The sequence below is a fragment of the Homo sapiens genome, chromosome 22, assembly GCF_000001405.40.
Source record: "Homo sapiens chromosome 22, GRCh38.p14 Primary Assembly".
NCBI classification, from domain to species: domain Eukaryota; kingdom Metazoa; phylum Chordata; class Mammalia; order Primates; family Hominidae; genus Homo; species Homo sapiens.
The window spans coordinates 50,622,687-50,643,049 of record NC_000022.11 but is presented as its reverse complement, the minus strand read 5'-3'; the positions used below and the strand labels follow the sequence as shown (position 1 = coordinate 50,643,049).

At 51.4% G+C, this 20,363-nt stretch overlaps 1 protein-coding gene and 1 long non-coding RNA gene across 10 annotated transcripts, besides 6 other annotated features; one reads left to right on the top strand and one right to left on the bottom strand.

Annotated features, from left to right (window-relative positions):
• Nucleotides 419–983: an enhancer, noted in NCBI's record as "OCT4-NANOG-H3K27ac-H3K4me1 hESC enhancer chr22:51080495-51081059 (GRCh37/hg19 assembly coordinates)". NCBI's record gives its function as "activates a minimal SCP1, AML or CMV promoter by ChIP-STARR-seq in primed H9 embryonic stem cells {active_cell/tissue: H9 hESC(primed)}" and the evidence as "EXISTENCE:reporter gene assay evidence [ECO:0000049][PMID:30033119]".
• Nucleotides 984–1,547: an enhancer, noted in NCBI's record as "OCT4-NANOG-H3K27ac-H3K4me1 hESC enhancer chr22:51079931-51080494 (GRCh37/hg19 assembly coordinates)". NCBI's record gives its function as "activates a minimal SCP1, AML or CMV promoter by ChIP-STARR-seq in naive and primed H9 embryonic stem cells {active_cell/tissue: H9 hESC(naive and primed)}" and the evidence as "EXISTENCE:reporter gene assay evidence [ECO:0000049][PMID:30033119]".
• Nucleotides 6,757–7,271: an enhancer, noted in NCBI's record as "H3K4me1 hESC enhancer chr22:51074207-51074721 (GRCh37/hg19 assembly coordinates)". NCBI's record gives its function as "activates a minimal SCP1, AML or CMV promoter by ChIP-STARR-seq in primed H9 embryonic stem cells {active_cell/tissue: H9 hESC(primed)}" and the evidence as "EXISTENCE:reporter gene assay evidence [ECO:0000049][PMID:30033119]".
• On the bottom strand, nucleotides 7,044–11,556 carry LOC124905149 (uncharacterized). Its single transcript, XR_007068161.1, has 2 exons — nucleotides 8,352–11,556; nucleotides 7,044–7,507 (listed from the first exon to the last, which is right to left on the bottom strand). It is a non-coding gene; the product is annotated as an uncharacterized LOC124905149 (long non-coding RNA).
• Nucleotides 7,272–7,788: an enhancer, noted in NCBI's record as "H3K4me1 hESC enhancer chr22:51073690-51074206 (GRCh37/hg19 assembly coordinates)". NCBI's record gives its function as "activates a minimal SCP1, AML or CMV promoter by ChIP-STARR-seq in naive and primed H9 embryonic stem cells {active_cell/tissue: H9 hESC(naive and primed)}" and the evidence as "EXISTENCE:reporter gene assay evidence [ECO:0000049][PMID:30033119]".
• Nucleotides 14,814–15,003: a silencer, noted in NCBI's record as "silent region_14004". NCBI's record gives its function as "represses an Ori minimal core promoter by ATAC-STARR-seq in GM12878 lymphoblastoid cells {active_cell/tissue: GM12878}" and the evidence as "EXISTENCE:reporter gene assay evidence [ECO:0000049][PMID:35858748]".
• On the top strand, nucleotides 14,898–20,296 carry ARSA (arylsulfatase A). Of its 9 annotated transcripts, none has more exons than NM_001085427.3 (9): nucleotides 14,898–15,059; nucleotides 15,258–15,494; nucleotides 15,644–15,884; nucleotides 15,998–16,216; nucleotides 16,290–16,459; nucleotides 16,772–16,896; nucleotides 16,987–17,114; nucleotides 17,369–17,471; nucleotides 17,586–20,296. In NM_001085427.3, the coding sequence occupies exons 2-9, from the start codon at nucleotides 15,271–15,273 to the stop codon at nucleotides 17,903–17,905; spliced, it is 1,530 nt and encodes a 509-aa protein (NP_001078896.2). In that variant the 5' UTR covers nucleotides 14,898–15,059; nucleotides 15,258–15,270; the 3' UTR covers nucleotides 17,906–20,296. The 9 variants fall into 9 exon arrangements, with proteins under 9 accessions (NP_001078896.2, NP_001078895.2, NP_001078894.2 ...); NM_001085426.3 differs by having other exon boundaries at nucleotides 14,898–15,104; NM_001085425.3 differs by having other exon boundaries at nucleotides 14,898–15,152.
• Nucleotides 15,938–16,720: an enhancer, noted in NCBI's record as "H3K27ac-H3K4me1 hESC enhancer chr22:51064758-51065540 (GRCh37/hg19 assembly coordinates)". NCBI's record gives its function as "activates a minimal SCP1, AML or CMV promoter by ChIP-STARR-seq in naive H9 embryonic stem cells {active_cell/tissue: H9 hESC(naive)}" and the evidence as "EXISTENCE:reporter gene assay evidence [ECO:0000049][PMID:30033119]".

Genomic DNA, 20,363 nt, shown 5'->3' with positions numbered 1-20,363 from the left:
GGCGCAGTGGCTCACGCCTGTAATCCCAGCACTTTGGGAGGCCGAGGTGGGCGGATCACAAGGTCAGGAGATTGAGACCACCCCGGCTAACACGGTGAAACCCCATCTCTACTAAAAAAATATTAAAAAATTAGCGAGGCGTGGTAGCGGGCTCCCGTAGTCCCAGCTACTCAGGAGGCTGAGGCAGGAGAATGGCGTGAACCCGGGAGGCGGAGCTTGCATTGAGCCGAGATCACGCCACTGCACTCCAGCCAGCCTGGACGACGCAGCGAGACTCCGTCTCAAAAAAAAAAAAAAAAAGGGCTGCCCCTCTTTCTGGGAACCTCCTGCCTTCCTCTCCCTGCCAGTGGGTTCCACAAGAACCTCCCAGTCAGTACCTGCCACCCCCTTGGCCAGGTCATGTATCTGCCCAGCTGGGACCAGCAGAGCCCTTTCAGAGTTGGGACCAACCAGAGGGCCTCAAGGTGGTTGATGGGACAAGGATGGAGCAGGCCCACAGGGGTGGGGAAGATGAAGGCCACCAGGGGGCCTAAGGTGGATCCCCATGTCAGCAGGTCTCATGAACTGCTGCAGAATCCCTCCACTCAGGCCACGTGTTCCCGCTGAAGCAGCTCAACTCCCCACCCTCCCCATGCAGAGGCTTCTTCCATCCCTTGTCCAAGGTGCAAAAAGACAAGACCCATGCCCCTCATTTCAAGGCCCTCTCCTGACTGTGGGTGTTAGTCCCAAATTAGCAATGCCCCAGGCGTCCAGAGCCACTTCCCGAACCCCAGCAGGCTGCCTCCAATTGGGGCTCTGTCAATGCAGAAAAAGAACTCACATCTCCAAAAGGCAGGATGGCCTGCAGAGCTTGGCTTTGAACAAACATAGCTGGCAGCACACACATCCCCTCCTCCAGGCCGGGAGGTCAGGGCTGGGCCGAGGCAGCTGTCACGTGGGCAACCCCTGAGCGGCCTCCAGAGCCCAGGGGGAAGGGGCCACCATTTGCGTAACACTACAACCCTAAGCAGGCTCTTCTCGGGAAGAAGGGGCCGGTCCTGGGGTAGTTCCCAGCTTCCAGTTGAAAGAGAATAAAGTGCCTTTGATTGTCTCCTTTTAAACTCCAATTCACAGCGCCAACCAGCTGCGATAGCTCCAATTACAGGTTCAAAGATTTCTGGGCCACCGAGCAGCTTTCTGTTCTGGCTCCAGATGGAAGCACCAGCAGCGCACCCCTGCCCCCAGCCCCGCCACACACAGGCACAGACACCACACTGGAATGTAACATCAAGGGGCTCGCTGGCAGAGACTGGCACCTCCTGCTCTCCACAAGGTCAGCAGCAGCCTCAAGCCCAGCCCCTTCCCACCCCATCTCTGGGAGTCCCTTCAAACTTTGCTCCCACATGGCCTCTATCTTGGAGCTTTCATGTTTCCTCAGGAAAATGCCAGCTCCCCACACACAGCTGGGCTTCAGTGGAAGTCGAGTCCTGAACCCTCACCCTGGTCCCCAGAGGCTCTTCCAGAGCCCTGTCCACCTTCCCACTGGCTGCAGGGTCAGTGACCAGGGAAAGCGCTTCCCATCAGGAGACCAGGTCCTGCTCCTCCCCGAGGGGCAACCTGAGCTTGTGGAGAAACGCAAGGTCAAGGAGCTGCCCTGGGGAGCCACCCTAGGAGGGGCCACCCTGAGGGAGCTGTCCTGGGGACACCTGCAGTGGAAACTGTTCAGGGCAGGGGCTATGGAGAGGGATACCCTGGCAGGGCCCAATTACTACAGCAACCTTGGGGCCCTCAGCCACACAGAATAAAATCCTCACCGAAGCCCCCTCTGGGGCTCTCTCTTACACTGATGAGAAAAAGAAGTAGCTCAGAGCAGAGTCGGAACTAGGCGGGGTGTACGGCCAAGAGGGATGAGTGTGGGGCCTCAGTAATCCCACACTTCTGCAAAAATGGCTGGGGACAATTGTTTCAGGACGCTTTGTTCCAGACCAGCTGCCTCACCATTATCTTCATGTTCTTGGAATTTGTGACACAACGAACAATGTAGGCCGGGTATGATGGCTCACACCGGTAAATCCCAGCTACTCAGGAGGCTGAGGCACAGGAAATCACTTGAGCCCGGGAGGCGGAGGGCACAGTGAGCACTCCAGGCTGGGCAACACAGCGAGACTCTGTCTCAAAAAGAAAGAACAATGTATAGCCAATGTTATCTGTTTTTGTTTTTTCTGTTTTGTTTTTGAGACGGAGTCTCACTCTGGCACCCAGGCTGGAGTGCAATGGCGCAATCTCGGCTCACTGCAACCTCCACTTCCCAGGTTCAAGCAATTCTCCTGCCTCAACCTCCCAAGTAGCTGAGATTACAGGTACACGCCACCACACCTGGCTAATTTTTGTATTTTTAGTAGAGACAGGGTTTCGCCATGTTGGCCCAGCTGGTCTCGAACTCCTGACCTCAAGTGATCCACCCGCCTTGGCCTCCCAAAGTGCTGGGATTACAAGCGTGAGCCACCGCGCCCAGCCACCTCTTTTCCTTCGAAAAACTACTGTAACTGTTGCCAATCAGAGTGTATATTCAGGGCAAATAGAATCTCTGCTCCCAGGTTGCAATCCTCAAGCTTGGCCCAAATAAACCCTCCGCTCATGTTAATGTTGCTTCAGCTTCTTTCTTTTAGGTCAACGTTCAGTACGCGTCTGTCATTTCCATTTGACTGTTAAACAAACTGGAGACTATAGAGGCCAAGGGAAAACTTGCCCTCTGCCCTCAGGAGATTCACGGAAAATCAACTGACAAAGTAAGAGAAAAGGCATACAGATTTATTCATGCACACAGGGAGAACCAGAGTGATGACCCCAACCTCCCAATGGGGTTCGGAAGCTTATATACCATCTTGAGGTTACAGAAAGAACATGGGCTCAAAGTATGGCCACAGTTTATGGTGGAAAATCAGGTGACCAGTGGCAAGACCGGTTACAGGAGGGAGAGCAGAGGAGGCCTGGCTAGCAAAGGTGGCCTTGTTCTACAGATGAAACCTCACAGGTAGCAGCCCTGAGAGAGAACAGATGGTGAATGTTCCCTTCAGGCCTTTAAAGGCGTCAGACTGTTACTCTTCCCAGATCAGGCAAGGAGGGCCTCAGAGGAGGCCTGGCCGCATCAGTGTAGATTCTCTCCACAGATGCAAATCTCCCCCACAAAAGACAGCTTTTCAGCTATTCTTCTATTTCCAGTCCTTCTGAGTAACTGTCTTGAACCGTGTCAAGGAAATATTTTTGTTGTTGTTGTTTGTTTGTTTTGAGGCAGAGTCTCACTCCGTCACCCAGGCTGGAGTGCAGTGGTGCAATCTCAGCTCACTGCAACCTCCACCTACTGGGTTCAAGTGATTCTCCTGCTTCAGCCTCCCTGGGATTACAGGCATGCACCACCATGCCTGGCTAATTTTTGTATTTTTAGTAGAGACGGGGTCTCGCCATGTTGGCCAGCCTGGTCTCAAACTCCTGACCTCAGGTGATCTGCCCACCTCGGCCTCACGAAGTGCTGGGATTACAGGCGTGAGTCACCATGCCCAGCCATGGAAATACATTTTGGGGCGAAATATTTTGGTTTCCTTCAGTCCCCACTTTGAGACTTTCAGAAAGTTGCCCATATAAAAAGAAAGTTGATAGCTTTGAAGAGATTTGAGTTAGAGGTTGTTAGATAAGAGACAGGCAGAGGCGGGCAAAAAGAAATTGGGATAAGCAGAAAAAGACAAATTTAAATGTCATCCTGGCAGGGCACAGTGGCTCATGGCTGTAAATCTCAGCACTTTGGGAAGCTGAGGCAGGAGGAGCACTTGAGCCCAGGTGTTCAGACCAGCCCGGGCATCACAGGGAGACTCTATTGCTACAAAAAATAAAAAATTAGCCAGGCATGGTAGTTTGTGTCTGTGGTCCCAGCTACCTGGGAGGCTGATGCAGCAGGATGACCTGAGCCTGGGAAGTCAAGTCTGCAGAGAGCTGTGATCACACCACTTTGTGGGTGAGTGAGTGAGACCCTGTCTCTGAAAAATAGATATGTATCATGCCATATTTTCTTGAATCCGTCTCTTAGTCCTGAGACTAGATCAGCTCAGTTAAACAGCTGTATCCTATTCCAAGAAGTGGCATTGCAGATGGGCTGGGACCTCGTATATAATTCACACAAACAGATCTTTAACAAGATACAATTCTATGGAAACAGAAGAAAAAAAACGGTGAATGTCTGGTGTCATCCATAGACTAGCTTTTCTAGCTCTCCTCAATCTGAGGCATCTGGAGCATCTTCAGATTGCAATGGCAATTTGACAGATTTTTCTGGATTGTAGTTCTAATTGGGTGTTCAAGTGAACTTTCTGAATAGTCCATATATCAACAGGCACAAAGGCTATTTATACATAAGTCGCTGTGATGATTTCTCCTGAAGATTATAAGTAATTTAGCTTCAGTTGCAGGGCTTCAAGAAAAGCCATTTTAATTTCCAGTGATTTTAAATCAGAAAAATGGGAGAAAAACTGGAAAGCATTAGTTTAGAGACTTGGAGCTAGGAAAGAATGCAGGATTCAGTTCAAACTATAGGCAAATGATAACAACTCAAAAACAAGTCAGTCCGGACTCTCGTAACAGGTGTCAACAGTCAGTCCGGACTCTAATAACAGGTGTCAACAGTCAGTCCGGACTCTAATAACAGGTGTCAACAGTCAGTCCGGACTCTAATAACAGGTGTCAACAGTCAGTCCGGACTCTCCTCACGGCAGGTGTCAACAGTCAGTCCGGACTCTAATGACAGGTGTCAACAGTCAGTCCGGACTCTTGTGACAGGTGTCAACAGTCAGTCCGGACTCTCGTGACAGGTGTCAACAGTCAGTCCGGACTCTAATAACAGGTGTCAACAGTCAGTCTGGACTCTAATAACAGGTATACTATAGTTTTCTTCTAAAACATATTTTTTCTCTCTCCAGTCTCCCTTTTCCACAAAAGACAAATCAGAGTAAGAACAACTGATTTACAAAATAAGTTTTAGTCTTATTATAATTGGCCTGATTATTTGCATAAAGTACAGTAATAATAGTGACTGGCCATTCAACCTCTTTTAAAGTTGGCTTTGCCAGAACTTTTTCATAAGGAATCTCAGATTAGACTTTTAAAAGCATCTTGAGGCCGGGCATGGTGGCTCACGCCTGTAATCCCAGCACTTTGGGAGGCCGAGGCGGGCGGATCGTGGGCTCAGGAGATCAAGACTATCCTGGCTAACACAGTGAAACCCCATCTCTACTAAAAATACAAAGAAAATCAGCCACGTGTGGTGGCGGGCGCCTGTAGTACCAGCTACTCAGGAGGCTAAGGCAGGAGAATGGCATGAACCCGGGAGACGGAGCTTGCAGTGAGCCAAGACCGCGCCACTACACTCCAGCCTGGGCGACAGAGCGAGATCGGTCTCAAAAAAAAAAAACCAAAAACCAAAAAAAAAAAAAAAAAAAAAAAGTACTTGTCTGGGTACTTTACATGAGTTTCCTTGAGGAAGAAGCAAGTCTTGAACTGTAGCTAATTATAAGCTGCTTTTTAAAAAGAATCAAAGTAAAACAGTAATTGACTGTGGATGACAGATGACTTAGACTAATGATGGTTACAGATGCAATTCACAAGGAGATTTGTTTTTTTGTGTGACATACAACAATTTAACATAATAATTATAATTTTGAGCCAGGCGTGGTGGCTCATACCTGTAATCCCTGCACTTTGGGAGACCAAGGCAGGAGGGCTGCTTGAGCTCAGGAGTTCGAGATGAGCCTGGGTGGCACAGCAAGATCCTGTCTCCAAAATAATAAATAAATAAATAAAGACAGCATGAGGCAAACTCTCTACTCCTCCTTTTTTTTTGTGAGACAGAGTCTCACTCTTGTTGCCCAGGCTGGAGTGCAGTGGCACAATCTCAGCTCACTGCAACCTCCGCCTCCCGGGTTCAAGCGATTCTCCTGCCTCGGCCTCCTGAGTAGCTGGGACTACAGGCAGGCGCCACCACGCCTGGCTAATTTTTGTATTTTTAGTAGAGATGGGGTTTCACCATCTTGGCCAGGCTAGTCTCAAACGCCTGACCTCAGGTGATCCACCCACCTCGGCCTCCCAAAGTGCTGGGATTACAGGTGTGAACCACCGTACCGGGCCTACTCCTCCTTTTCTTGTAGTTTACTCAAAAGGTAAACAAAAATCTTTTACTGTCTCTTATTAATACTACATGAAAATCTTACTCAAAAATGAAAACTAAATTCTACCTTTACATTAGCATATTATTAATACTAAAGCTAATTTTAATAAAAACTTAAAAACAGATCCATTCAATCTCAATCAGCTTTGACCACATAAGATTTCCATAAACCTTTAATAACCTCTTAAAATTTGTTCCATTCTTTGTTTCTCAAACTTTCTATATATATTCAGTTTTATCTATCATTTTTTTATTCCTTTAATTTAAAACAACCTTTAAAAACATCAAAACTAGACAAAATTACTTTTCCTTTAACAAAAACCTCATTCTCATGCCTTCTTTATAACCTTCCTTACCAAAAACACATCCTACTTTCTTATAAACTTTGCATACAGAAGTGTTTCTCTTATATCTAGTAGTTTTAAATACATATATTAATTACAATGTTAACTCTTAGGAAGCCTAATTTTCAGTGAAAAACATGGGAAGTAAGCAATTTTAATTGTTATTAAAGATGCAAAGCCCAGGACAAAGGACAGAGCTTTAAAGACTGATATGGTTTGGCTGTGTCCCCACCCAAATCTCATCTTGAACTGTAGTTCCCAAAATCCACAGGTGTTGTGGGAGGGACCCAGTGGGAGGTGATTAGATGAAGGGGGCGGTTCCCCCACGCTGTTTTTGTGCTAGTGAGTTCTCACGAGGTCTCATGGTTTCATGAGGTGCTTCCCCACTCTTCGCTCTGCACACCTCCTTCCTGACCTCATGTGAAGAACGTGTTTGCTTCCTCTTCCGCCATGATTGTAAGTTTCCTGAGGCTTCCCAGCCACGCTGAACTGTGAGTCAATTAAACCTCTTTCCTTTACAAATCACCCAGTCTCAGGTATGTCTTTATTAGCAGTGTGAGAATGGGCTACTACAAAGACAATGCCTGGAGGACTCAACCCCTCCCAGCATGACCGGGGGGCACAGCTGGGCCAGGGAGGACAATGCTCGGGCACTGCAGACACACAGCATGACCGGGGGGCACAGCTGGGCAAGAGAGGACAATGCTCGGGCACTGCAGACACACAGCATGGCTGGGGCGCACAGCTGGGCTAGGGAGGACGGGGCTCAGGCACTGCAGACACACAGTATGGCCGGGGGGCACAGCTGGGCTAGGGAGGACGGGGCTCGGGCACTGCAGACAAACAGCATGACCGGGGGGTACAGCTGGGCCAGGGAGGATGGGGCTTAGGTACTGCGGACACACAGATGTCTCCAGGCCACATCATGTCCACTTGTCTTGACCCCAGAATGTAGAGGCTCAAAGCCAAAGACCTAAGTTCACAGACAAATTAAGCAAGTATCAGAAATATGACAGAAGCAAATTTTATGACCTTAAAGCATCTAACAGAGACTGTCTGAACCTGTCCGACCAATGGGCCCAAGCAAAGATGTCTCAATTATATTTAAGACTGACGACTTTGAAGATATTCTAATTTTAGCATCATTTTTTTTTTTGAGATGGAGTCTCACTCTGTCACCCAGGCTAGAGTGCAGTAGTGCAGTCTCGGCTCACTGCAACCTCTACCTCCCAGGTTCAAGTGATTCTCCTGCCTCAGCCTCCTGAGTAGCTAGGACTACAGGCGCATGCCACCACGCCTGGCTAATTTTTGTATTTTTAGTAGAGACGGGGTTTCACCATGTTGGCCAGGATGGTCTCGATCTCTTGACCTCGTGATTTGCCCGCCTCAGCCTCCCAAAGTGCTGGGATTACAGGTGTGAGCCACTGCACCCAGCAGCAACAATTTTAAAACTAAGTTTATTTGCCAAAGATTACTAGTCACATGAACTAGAAAAGCATCTGGGTTTAGTTACATCATTCATGAGCACTTATTTATTTATACGTCAATTTGCTACTATGTACATAATATACAAACAGGCATGTACACATAAAAATACAGACACAAATCAAGATTTTATAGCTTTAGTTTTAAGATTTTAGCCACGAATCGGGTAAAAATCACTAGTTTAAAAGGATACTTAAAATTGTGCCTCTGTAAATGGAACAAGGTAAAATTTATCTGTCTCACACGGCCAAAGCCCTTACCAAGTTTTAGAGAAAACAAGGCAACAAATTTACATCTTGAAGCACAGAGAAAAAAAAATTATTTTTATTTACTGAATTTTTTCAAGACGGAGTCTTGCTCTGTCGCCCAGGTTGGAGTGCAACGGCACGATCTTGACTCACTGCAACCTCTGCCTCCTTGGTTCAAGCAATTCCACAGGGAGAAAGTTTAAGCTTTGATTTAGTATGTTAAAGGAAGATTTTAAATGGATGCTGAGGTAACAAAAAGTCATAGAAATTCACCACAGGATTTTATAAGGACAACAATGTTATTTAAATATGTGGCTATTAATTTATTCTCCATTTTTGAACTAGACCACTGGGCTCAGGACAGAGCTCATTAATGAACATGGCCAAAAAAGCATTTGCAGTTTGGAGGACCTAATATTTAAATATGTGAAAAACAGGTGCAGCTGGAAGGCAGAGCATCTAGATCTTTTAAAATCAAGGATCCCACATTTACACTGAATGCTGAGTTCCCTCTAAAAAGAGATATATATGAGACAAAGCCATACAGTGTTTCCACAGTGTACCTCACTATGAAGACATTCCCCTGAGGCTGGTGGGAGACCCACAGCAATCAGCCCACGGAGTCTCAGCCTTTGACGCCAAGTGCTTCCATAGTCTCCAAGTGTTCAGATTGTGCCTTTCTCATCTAAACATGCAGAGAAACAAGCAGCCACTGCAGGAACAACCATTCACTACAACTGCTTTCAGCCACCTCCAAAACTGTGAGGCAGCCCTCGCCAGTGACCTGCCGGCCATCACACACACTCAGGTCATGCACTGTCTCACAGTGCAACGTAATCCCTGGTACCCCCAAAGCCAAAGAGATCCAGTGACACAGTGCCAAAGACAGCCAAGCTTTAGACCCGAGAGGAAGCTACCCACGACTCCTCAGGCCCCATAAGGAAGACAAAAGCGGGGCGCGTGGCACCTTTCTTTGCGTTCCCCAAGGGGTCTCTAAGTCATCAGAAGTCCCTTGTAGATCCCTTCATTAGGTACCAAAGATGGCAAAGGGGATGGAGGAGCACGGAGGGGTAGAAGTAAATGGGACTGCAATCCTTAGAGGAGCCAATTTGGAAAAATGTTAAGGTTCTAAAAGGCCAATACAATTTTACATTTTTCTCATCAAAATTATACCAACAAAGGAACCAAACAGAAGGACCAAACACACAATTTAAAGGGGTTTCAGTCACCTGAAAAAAAAATTCCCAGAAACAGGGTCCAAAAGCAGAAAAGGCTGTAGATACATGGCTTGAAGATCAGCTCACCTGTTTTTAATTAAGCCAACTTCTGACCACAGAGCTCTTTTTTAAAATCCTTTCAAATATCTTATTATCAGATTTTAGCTGAGACCAACAGCTGATAGCCATGGCTTTGAGACCTTTTTTTTTAAAACCAAAGGTACCTCCCAAGTGACTCACCAAAACCAATAAGCCTTAACTAAAGCTATGGACTTAACCAAGGACACATAAGCCATCTCCAAAGAGGCGCAAAGCAGTCCTGATGACATCCAGAGCCACCCCAAAGAGCTCAAAGAAAGGAAATCAAAAGCTGCCAGTGGAGGGGGAAAGGGTCAACAACAAATGAGTTCCGCACAAAGTCAAAAGTTGGCTGGGTGCGTGGCTCACGCTGGTAATCCCAGCACTTTGGGAGGCCGAGGCAGCCGGATCACAAGGTCAGGAGTTCGAGACCAGCCTGGCCAACACGGTGAAACCCCATGTCTACTAAAAATACAAAAAAAAAAAAGAAAAAAAAAGAAAATTAGCTGGGCGTGGTGGCTCACACCTGTAATCCCAGCACTCTGGGAGGCCAAGGCGGGAGGATCACGAGGTCAGGAGTTCGAGACCAGCCTGGCCAACATGGTGAAACCCCATCTCTACTAAAAATACACACACACAAAAAAATCAGCCGGGCGTGGTGGCTCACACCTGTAATCCCAGCTACTCCAGAGGCTGAGGCAGGAGAATTGCTTAAACCCAGGAGGCAGAGGGTGCAGTGAGCCAAGATCATGCCACTGCACTCCAGCCTGGGCGACAGAGCAAGACTCCGTCTCCAAAAAAAAAACAAAAGAAAGAATTCAAAAGTCACACAAATATCAAACCAAAAGGGACTGGTTCCTCTATTGGGAATTGAACCCAGGCCATGGTAGTGAAAGTACAGAATTTTAAGTAGTTTCCAAGATGCAGCAGTCTTCATTGTGAATCCTGCAGGGATCCAAAGCAATGGTTTGCGCGCACAAAGGATTTTAACTTGTTACAGGTCAGATTTTTGCTCTTTAATTTTGTGAAGAGGATTTCTAAGGCTAGCCACAACATTATTATGTGTCTTTCCTTTAATCTCCCCACAAATACAAATAAGGCAATTGTTTAGAATGAGAGACCTCTAAAATCTTTTTTTTTTTTTAATTTAGGGATCTTTCTAATGTAAAGGATTCATCTTTTGGCTATTGACAATCAGAATTTCCAATGATGTATTTATTCCAATAGCAACTCAATCCAAGAAGCCCCTTCATGGAAAGCCCAAAAGATTATTTTCCAGGTTTAGAGAGGGCATAGAAGAGGAGGTTCCAATGATGCCCCCAAAATTCACTCCCAGGAATAGGCAAAGACAGCAAAAGACTCTTGTTCCCAGAGACAGTTAAGGAACGTGTTTGTACATACAGTGCCTCCAGTAACACACAATCTGTCAGGGGCTGCCAGTCACAGACCCATTAACCTGTAACACAGGGTAGGCCTGTTGGGATTGGGCTTTCTGAGGACTGACCAGGCAACAAACATTGGGATGACAAAAGCCCCTTATGGATGGGCCTGAGGAGAGCAAAAACCACCTGGCGACCATCAAACATCAAACAGGCCCTCCGAGGCAAAACTCCTTATCTGGGGAAAATCAAAAGTAACTAAACCTCCCTATTATCTAAAGCAGGCATCTGGTTCCAGATTTCTTCCCCCAAAAAACGTGTAAGTAACTATAATTTCTATGTGTCTCCAGAATACCATGACGAAACTCACTGTACAACCGTCGCTGACATTAAGGCACCAAAATTACTATAAATGTAATCATTTATCATGACTTACGTGGCTAATATGGTCCAAATTACTGTTAAGCCTCCACTTTAAGGCCTATAAATGCCCTTAAGGAGAAATCCACCCGGCGTACTCAGTCCTCTTGCTGAGGCACCTCATTGCACTCTTCTGCAGCATTCTAATAAACTTTCTTTCTTTTCTTTTTTTTTCTTTTTTTTTTTTTTGAGATGGAGTTTCACTCTTGTTGCCCAGGCTGGAGTGCAATGGTATGATCTCAGCTCACCACAACCTCCATCTCCCAGGTTCAAGCGATTCTCCTGCCTCAGCCTCCCAAGTAGCTGGGAATACAGGCTCCCGACACCATGCCCAGCTAATTTTTTGTATTTTTAGTAGAGATGGGGTTTCATCATGTTGGCCAGGCTGGTCTTGAACTCCTGCCCTCAGGTGATCCACCTGCCTCAGCATCCCAAAGTGCTGGGATTACAGGCGTGAGCCACCGTGCCCGGCAAACTTTCTTTTTTCTTTTTTTTTTTGAGACAGTCTTGCTCTGTCTCAGCTCACTGCAACCTCCGCCTCCCAGGTTCAAGCAATTCTCCTGCCTCAGCCTTCCAAGTAGCTGGGATTACAGCCACGCACCACCACACCTGGCTAAGTTTTATACTTTCAGTAGAGACAGGGTTTCTCCATGTTGGCCAGGCTGGTCTCAAACTCCTGACCTCAGGTGATCCACCCACCTTGGACTTCCAAAGTGCTGAGAGTACAAGCATGAGCCACTATGCCCGGCCAAACTTTCCTTTTTCAAACCTATTGTCGGTAAACTCTTTTTACCAACCCGCAAGTTGACCACCACTCCCAGTGCCGGGGCTCTGACAGCTCGCCTGGCAGGGACTTCTTAAGACAAACTAAAAGCTTGACACATTCAGAACAAAAACGGTGCTGCTTAAAATATTAAATGTCTTGGGTTCCCAACCATTTTCAGACTGACCACAAAATGTGACCTGCGAGTCACTACCTCGGATTGGCAGAGGCCAAGAGAGTGCTCCTGAGGTAGGAGGTGGGACTTAGTTGACCCAGTTGAGGATTGGCTAAAACAGGGTTGGGGCAATAGCAGCTTTCAGTCAGATATGCCCGCCACTGTGCCATGTCAGTTTACCATTGCCATGGCAACACCCAGGAGTTGCCACCCCTTTCCATGGCAATGACCCAATGATGACTACTCCTTCCCTAGAAACTTCTGCATAAACCATCCTTTAATCTACATGCAATCAAAAGTGCGTATAAATGTGACTGCAAAACTGCCCTGAGCTGCTACTCTCAGCCTACGGGGTGGCCCTGCTCTGCAGGAGCAGTCACAGAGCTCTAACGCCACCTGTTCAATAAAGCTGTTTTCTTCTACCTCTGGCTTGTCTTTGAATTCTTTCCTGGGCAAAGCCAAAACCCTCACTGGCTAAGCTCCACTCTGGGGTCTGCCTGGCCTGCATCATTCCCACTCGCTCACAACTCAAGCTTTCAAGGACATCAAAAGAGAGGAGAATCTCATCCAGTTTTCAGTTCAGGGACCCACAGCAAAGTCTGTCTAACTAGACGCATCCGATCAGAGCTGCAAAACTGACTAGCCTGCAGGACGGCCCCAAGACGGGGTTTACAGGGGTTTTAGGCCTGTGTTCTACCCTCTTTATGACAGAAAAACACAGAAAGACAAGAATGAAAGACGACTATTTCTGGGGAAAAAAAGCAATCAAACAATATGAATACAAAACTAATCACATAAATACATTTCTCTCATTAAAACTTTGAAGAGGAAAACAAGGTAAACAGACATTTTTACCGTCGGCTTGACAAGATTCCAGAGAGGCCGGGAGCCTGGCTGCTAAGACCTTCTTACCCTTCTTTCTGCCAGCTTGTCGGCTCCTGGGTTCCCCTGACGGAGGCTCCCAGGAGAGTGACTTTAGTTATCCTACCGACTGCACCAAAACTGTAGGAGCCTAGAGAAAAACTTTTCTGCATTCTGAGTTCACAGAAAATCAACTGACAAAAGCCAGGTTAGTAAGAAAAAAGGCATACAGATTTATTCATGCACACAGGGAGAACCAGAGTGATGACCCCAACCTCCCAATGGGGTTCGGAAGCTTATATACCATCTTGAGGTTACAGAAAGAACATGGGCTCAAAGTATGGCCACAGTTTATGGTGGAAAATCAGGTGACCAGTGGCAAGACCGGTTACAGGAGGGAGAGCAGAGGAGGCCTGGCTAGCAAAGGTGGCCTTGTTCTACAGATGAAACCTCACAGGTAGCAGCCCTGAGAGAGAACAGATGGTGAATGTTCCCTTCAGGCCTTTAAAGGCGTCAGACTGTTACTCTTCCCAGATCAGGCAAGGAGGGCCTCAGAGGAGGCCTGGCCGCATCAGTGTAGATTCTCTCCACAGATGCAAATCTCCCCCACAAAAGACAGCTTTTCAGCTATTCTTCTATTTCCAGTCCTTCTGAGTAACTGTCTTGAACCGTGTCAAGGAAATATATTTGGAGGTGACATATTGTGTTTTCCTTCAAGATCAAAAAGGTTAAGTCCAAGGCTGCCCAACGAGGGAGCGAGGACCCAATCACGTTGTCCTCAGATGAGTTTTTCCCCAGCAGCGTAACCCTGCAACAGGCCAGACTGGACCCCAGACACACATTCCACACCACACCACGCCTCCACCACCACACGCACACAACAGACACACCCTAAACACCAGACACACACACACACCTCAACCACCGCAAACACACATACGCCACACCTCTAACACCACACACACCCAACACCACACACATACGTGCCTCAAACACTACACACACCTCAACCACCATACACCTCAACCACACACACCCCTCAAACACCAAACACACCCCTCAACCACACACACACACCCCTCAAACACCACACACCCACCTCAAACACCACACACACATATCCCTCAAACACTACAAAAACACACACACACACCTCAAACACCACACATGCACACACACCTGAAACACCACACACCTGCCTCAAACACTCCACACACACCACACACAGACACGTACACAGCCCCCCGCACCCAGCCACAGCTTACACGCACACAGACACGCGTACGCAGGAGAAAGGGTGTCAAAGCTTTTGCTAGTCGTGAAGGAAGAGCCCGCAGTCCATGGGGCTGCACGGTTTTCCCTGCCATTTGCTCATTCACCGGGTGCCCATAACGCTCCGCGCTCAGGTCTCTTACAGGAGGGCCCGAGTCTCCCAGTACCGGAGGTCTGGGGGCGCACGAGCCGCTCCTCCTCTGGAGAAGCTCCGGACCGAGAGGACACCGGACACTGCGCAGCGCCGAGCCCCGCGCGCAGCCCGGGACGCCTCAGCCAGGGCCGACCGCGCAGAGGAAGCTCCCAGAGCCCGTTTCAAGACCGCAGCCAACAGCCTCAGGCGCACACGGCGGCCTCGGAGCGAGCACGCGCAGCAACGCCCCTCGCCCCGGCCCGCCCCCGGCCCCGCCCCCGGCCCCGCCCCCGGCCCCGCCCCGCAAGGGTCACAGGTCACGGGGCGGGGCCGAGGCGGAAGCGCCCGCAGCCCGGTACCGGCTCCTCCTGGGCTCCCTCTAGCGCCTTCCCCCCGGCCCGACTCCGCTGGTCAGCGCCAAGTGACTTACGCCCCCGACCCTGAGCCCGGACCGCTAGGCGAGGAGGATCAGATCTCCGCTCGAGAATCTGAAGGTGCCCTGGTCCTGGAGGAGTTCCGTCCCAGCCCGCGGTCTCCCGGTACTGTCGGGCCCCGGCCCTCTGGAGCTTCAGGAGGCGGCCGTCAGGGTCGGGGAGTATTTGGGTCCGGGGTCTCAGGGAAGGGCGGCGCCTGGGTCTGCGGTATCGGAAAGAGCCTGCTGGAGCCAAGTAGCCCTCCCTCTCTTGGGACAGACCCCTCGGTCCCATGTCCATGGGGGCACCGCGGTCCCTCCTCCTGGCCCTGGCTGCTGGCCTGGCCGTTGCCCGTCCGCCCAACATCGTGCTGATCTTTGCCGACGACCTCGGCTATGGGGACCTGGGCTGCTATGGGCACCCCAGCTCTACCACTCCCAACCTGGACCAGCTGGCGGCGGGAGGGCTGCGGTTCACAGACTTCTACGTGCCTGTGTCTCTGTGCACACCCTCTAGGTAAAGAGGGGGCCGCGCCTCTTCCCCGCCCCGACCCTCCATCCCTTTCCTCCCAATGGATTGCAGGGGGGCGGGAAAAACGTCTGTCTCTCTCTCTAGGGAAGGCCACATTTCTGTCTGTCTCAGGGACTCTGTGACTTGTCCCGCAGGGCCGCCCTCCTGACCGGCCGGCTCCCGGTTCGGATGGGCATGTACCCTGGCGTCCTGGTGCCCAGCTCCCGGGGGGGCCTGCCCCTGGAGGAGGTGACCGTGGCCGAAGTCCTGGCTGCCCGAGGCTACCTCACAGGAATGGCCGGCAAGTGGCACCTTGGGGTGGGGCCTGAGGGGGCCTTCCTGCCCCCCCATCAGGGCTTCCATCGATTTCTAGGCATCCCGTACTCCCACGACCAGGTAGGAACCACCCGGGCCCTCAGCCACCCTCCCACCTCCCAAAGTCCCCCAGCCCTTGATGCTCCCGCAGCCCCACCTGCCAGCCCAGCCCTCACGGCAGCTGCCCGCCTCAGGGCCCCTGCCAGAACCTGACCTGCTTCCCGCCGGCCACTCCTTGCGACGGTGGCTGTGACCAGGGCCTGGTCCCCATCCCACTGTTGGCCAACCTGTCCGTGGAGGCGCAGCCCCCCTGGCTGCCCGGACTAGAGGCCCGCTACATGGCTTTCGCCCATGACCTCATGGCCGACGCCCAGCGCCAGGATCGCCCCTTCTTCCTGTACTATGCCTCTCACGTAAGTGATCTTGGCCCAACCCCCTGGCTGCCCGTGACCCCTACCCAGTGCTAACTCCAGTCTTTGCCCCCAGCACACCCACTACCCTCAGTTCAGTGGGCAGAGCTTTGCAGAGCGTTCAGGCCGCGGGCCATTTGGGGACTCCCTGATGGAGCTGGATGCAGCTGTGGGGACCCTGATGACAGCCATAGGGGACCTGGGGCTGCTTGAAGAGACGCTGGTCATCTTCACTGCAGACAATGGGTATGCCAGCAGGGCAGCTGGGTGCTCCGGCCCTGTCACGGGCCAGGGCCCTGGAGGCCTTGCAGTTCAGCTGCTTGCCAAGAACATAGTGGGTGAGGGGGTGCCAGGAGATGCTGGCCACGTTGCAGGGGCCCAAGGTGTAGTCAGGAGACACAGTGCACAGAGAGCTGGTCTTGGTAGGCCTGGGAGGTGCCGGGCTCATGCTGGGCACCTCCGGGCAAGCTTTGTGACTTAGAGGTGTGGGGCCACTGGTCACCCTCGGTGGCTCAGAGGCTGTGGCTCCATGGCTCATGAGCGCCTCCTGTGTCCCAGACCTGAGACCATGCGTATGTCCCGAGGCGGCTGCTCCGGTCTCTTGCGGTGTGGAAAGGGAACGACCTACGAGGGCGGTGTCCGAGAGCCTGCCTTGGCCTTCTGGCCAGGTCATATCGCTCCCGGTCAGTCCGCAGGCCCTCTCCTTGGAACCCTGGCCCCACCACCCCAACCTTGATGGCGAACTGAGTGACTGACCAGCCTCCTGCCCCCAGGCGTGACCCACGAGCTGGCCAGCTCCCTGGACCTGCTGCCTACCCTGGCAGCCCTGGCTGGGGCCCCACTGCCCAATGTCACCTTGGATGGCTTTGACCTCAGCCCCCTGCTGCTGGGCACAGGCAAGGTAGGGCCGGTGACCCCTGATCCCAGATCCTTGGCCCCTGTCCTGGCCTTCCCCTGGGGTGAGTGTGGGCAGTGCCTGAGAGTCTGTGCCTCAGTGCCTCCTGCACTGAGTGGCATCCAAGTGGCGCCACCTCTCAGGTTCCTGGGTGGGCAAGAAGCGGTGCACGTCCAGGGCCTCCCACCAGGGCTGGCAGCCCCAGGTATGTGCAGTGCTTGGGGCCTGCCCCGCCCCGTGACCCCTGACTCTGCCCCCAGAGCCCTCGGCAGTCTCTCTTCTTCTACCCGTCCTACCCAGACGAGGTCCGTGGGGTTTTTGCTGTGCGGACTGGAAAGTACAAGGCTCACTTCTTCACCCAGGGTAACCCCTCCCCGTGGATCCCTCCCCCCGACCTGCTGACCCCTCCCCGGAGCCCTAGATCCCTGGCCCCTCCTCTCGCCCTTGCCCTGTGCACAGAATTGGCCCCCTCCCCAGGCTCTGCCCACAGTGATACCACTGCAGACCCTGCCTGCCACGCCTCCAGCTCTCTGACTGCTCATGAGCCCCCGCTGCTCTATGACCTGTCCAAGGACCCTGGTGAGAACTACAACCTGCTGGGGGGTGTGGCCGGGGCCACCCCAGAGGTGCTGCAAGCCCTGAAACAGCTTCAGCTGCTCAAGGCCCAGTTAGACGCAGCTGTGACCTTCGGCCCCAGCCAGGTGGCCCGGGGCGAGGACCCCGCCCTGCAGATCTGCTGTCATCCTGGCTGCACCCCCCGCCCAGCTTGCTGCCATTGCCCAGATCCCCATGCCTGAGGGCCCCTCGGCTGGCCTGGGCATGTGATGGCTCCTCACTGGGAGCCTGTGGGGGAGGCTCAGGTGTCTGGAGGGGGTTTGTGCCTGATAACGTAATAACACCAGTGGAGACTTGCAGATGTGACAATTCGTCCAATCCTGGGGTAATGCTGTGTGCTGGTGCCGGTCCCCTGTGGTACGAATGAGGAAACTGAGGTGCAGAGAGGTTCAGGACTTGTACAAGATCACCCAGCCAGAAAGAGGTTGGGCTGGGATTTGAACCCTGGTGTCGTGGCTCTGGAAGCTGCCCTGGCGCCTTGGTGATCTGCGTGGGTCAGTGCACACAGGCACACGTCAGCCTCAAGGACATGGGCACATCTGTTCACAGGAGCAGCGCCACGTGCCTTTGAGTGCCAGGAACGGGGTGGGAGGGTGGGAGGGTGTGAGGGCCAGAAGACTCAGAAGATGCAAAGTGCCTGAGAGAGACGGGATATTCCCCCAGAAGAAGCATTCTTAGAGACACAGGCACTGGACCTCCTTGGTTCTTATAAGAAACCTGTCTGAAGCTGGGTGATGAGTTGCACACTCCAGGTGGGGCTAAGGGGCCTGGAGCCCCTGCTGGCTCCTAGGAAGGCACAGCAGCAGGCCCTGAGACGGCTCCTCTGGGGCCCCTCCACCCTCCCAGGCCTCTGCATTTCACCTGTGCCCACACTTCTGTCTCCTGCCTTCACCTTTTGACCCACTACTAACGATTCTCCACCCAGCAGACAAAGTGATCTCTTAAAAATATCTGTTGGCTGGGCACGGTGGCTCACGCCTGTAATCCCAGCACTTTAGGAAGCCGAGGCGGGTGGATCACCTGAGGTCGGGAGTTCGAGACCAGCCTGACCAACATGGAGAAACCCCATCTCTACTAAAAATACAAAATTAGCCAGGTGTAGTGGTGCATCCCTGTAATCCCAGCTACTTGGGAGTCTGAGGCTGGAGAATCACTTGAACCTGGGAGGCGGTGGTTGCAGTGAGCCGAGATCGCACCATTGCACTCCAGCCTGGGCAACAAGAGAAAAACTCTGTCTCAAAAAACAAAAAATCTGTTAGGCTGCACACGGCGATTCACTCCTGTATTCCCAGTGCTTTGGGAGGCTGAGGTGAGAGGATGCCTGAGGCCAGGAATTCAGACCAGCCTGGGCAACATAGTGAGACCCCAGCTCTAAAGATTTGTTTTTGTTTTTTTTTTTTTTTTTTTTTTTTTTTTTTTTTTTTTTTTGAGACGGAGTCTCGCTCTGTCGCCCAGGCTAGAGTGCAGTGGTACCATCTCCGCTCACTGCAACCTCCGCCTCCCGGGTTCCAGGGATTCTCCTGCCTCAGCCTCCCTAGTAGCTGGAACTACAGGTGTGTGCTGCCATGCCCAGCTAATTTTTTTTTATTTAATAGAGACAAGATTTCACCATGTTGGCCAGGCTGGTCTCAAACTCCTGACCTCAGGTGATCCACCCGCCTCAGCCTCCCAAAGTGCTGGGATTACAGGTGTGAACCACCACACCTGGCCAACAATATTTGTTTTAATTAGCCAGGCGTGGTAGCATTTGTCCTAGCAATTTGGGAGGTTGAGGTGGGAGAATCACTTCAGCCCACTAGGTCGAGGCTGTAGTGAGCTATAATTGTACCACTGCACTCCAGCCTCGGGGACAGAGTGAGACCCTGTCTGCAAATAAACAAATAAAACATCAGGCTGGGCTTGAGCATCTATTCCTGCTCAAAATTTCGCAGGCTTCTCAGAAGAAAATCCAAACCCCTTACAGTGACCCAGTTTGCCCTTGAGGCCTCCACCCACACCCCCTTCCCCCCAGTCTTAGGGGGTGGCCTGGCTGTTCCCTTCAACGGCAACGCTCTGCCTCCATTGTTGGCCTCCTCTGCAGGGAGGGACTGTCTGAGCACCTGCCCGTGTCTGTGCAGCATGGCACACTGACGTCAGGCCCACGTGCATGCCCAGGTGGCCAGTCACACGCCAGGTGCTCCCTCAGTGTTGGCCAAGTGAGAGGAGCACACCTTCCGGGCGTTCAGACACCTCCCCGTGGCAGACACCGTTCGTTGCTACCAAACAGCCACCTCCTTCCTAATGGGCTCCCATTTTTCAGTGCTGGGCAAAGGTCCCTTGATCTTGGAGTTGCAGCCTCTTTCTCTCCAAGGAGGGCGGTGACCAGCCTGAGCCAGTCAATCCAGTGATTGGTTCAGGAGTAGCCTGTGACCAGGAGTCCTGGTAGTGAACGACTGGGGCAGCCCTGGGGGTGAGGACCTTGCGCAGCCGTCACAGGCCCTGATTGGACACTGGGCAGCTGCTAACCCAGTGTCTCCAGCTGCCTACCTGGAGAGCTCCAAGCGTAAGAAAATAAACCCTGCCTGTTGAAGCCACTGCTAGTGAGGGTTCTGTTATTTGCAGCCAAAAGCCTTGCTGGAATGTGGCCTATGAATGGTTGTG

Excerpts from the sequence above, each read along its gene's own strand:
- ARSA (NM_001085427.3), top strand. The coding sequence starts at position 15,271 with ATGTCCATGGGGGCACCGCGGTCCCTCCTCCTGGCCCTGGCTGCTGGC. Across the intron at positions 17,115-17,368 it reads TGCTGCTGGGCACAGGCAAG|AGCCCTCGGCAGTCTCTCTT; the intron begins GTAGGGCCGGTG and ends CTCTGCCCCCAG. Across the intron at positions 17,472-17,585 it reads GGCTCACTTCTTCACCCAGG|GCTCTGCCCACAGTGATACC; the intron begins GTAACCCCTCCC and ends CCCCCTCCCCAG.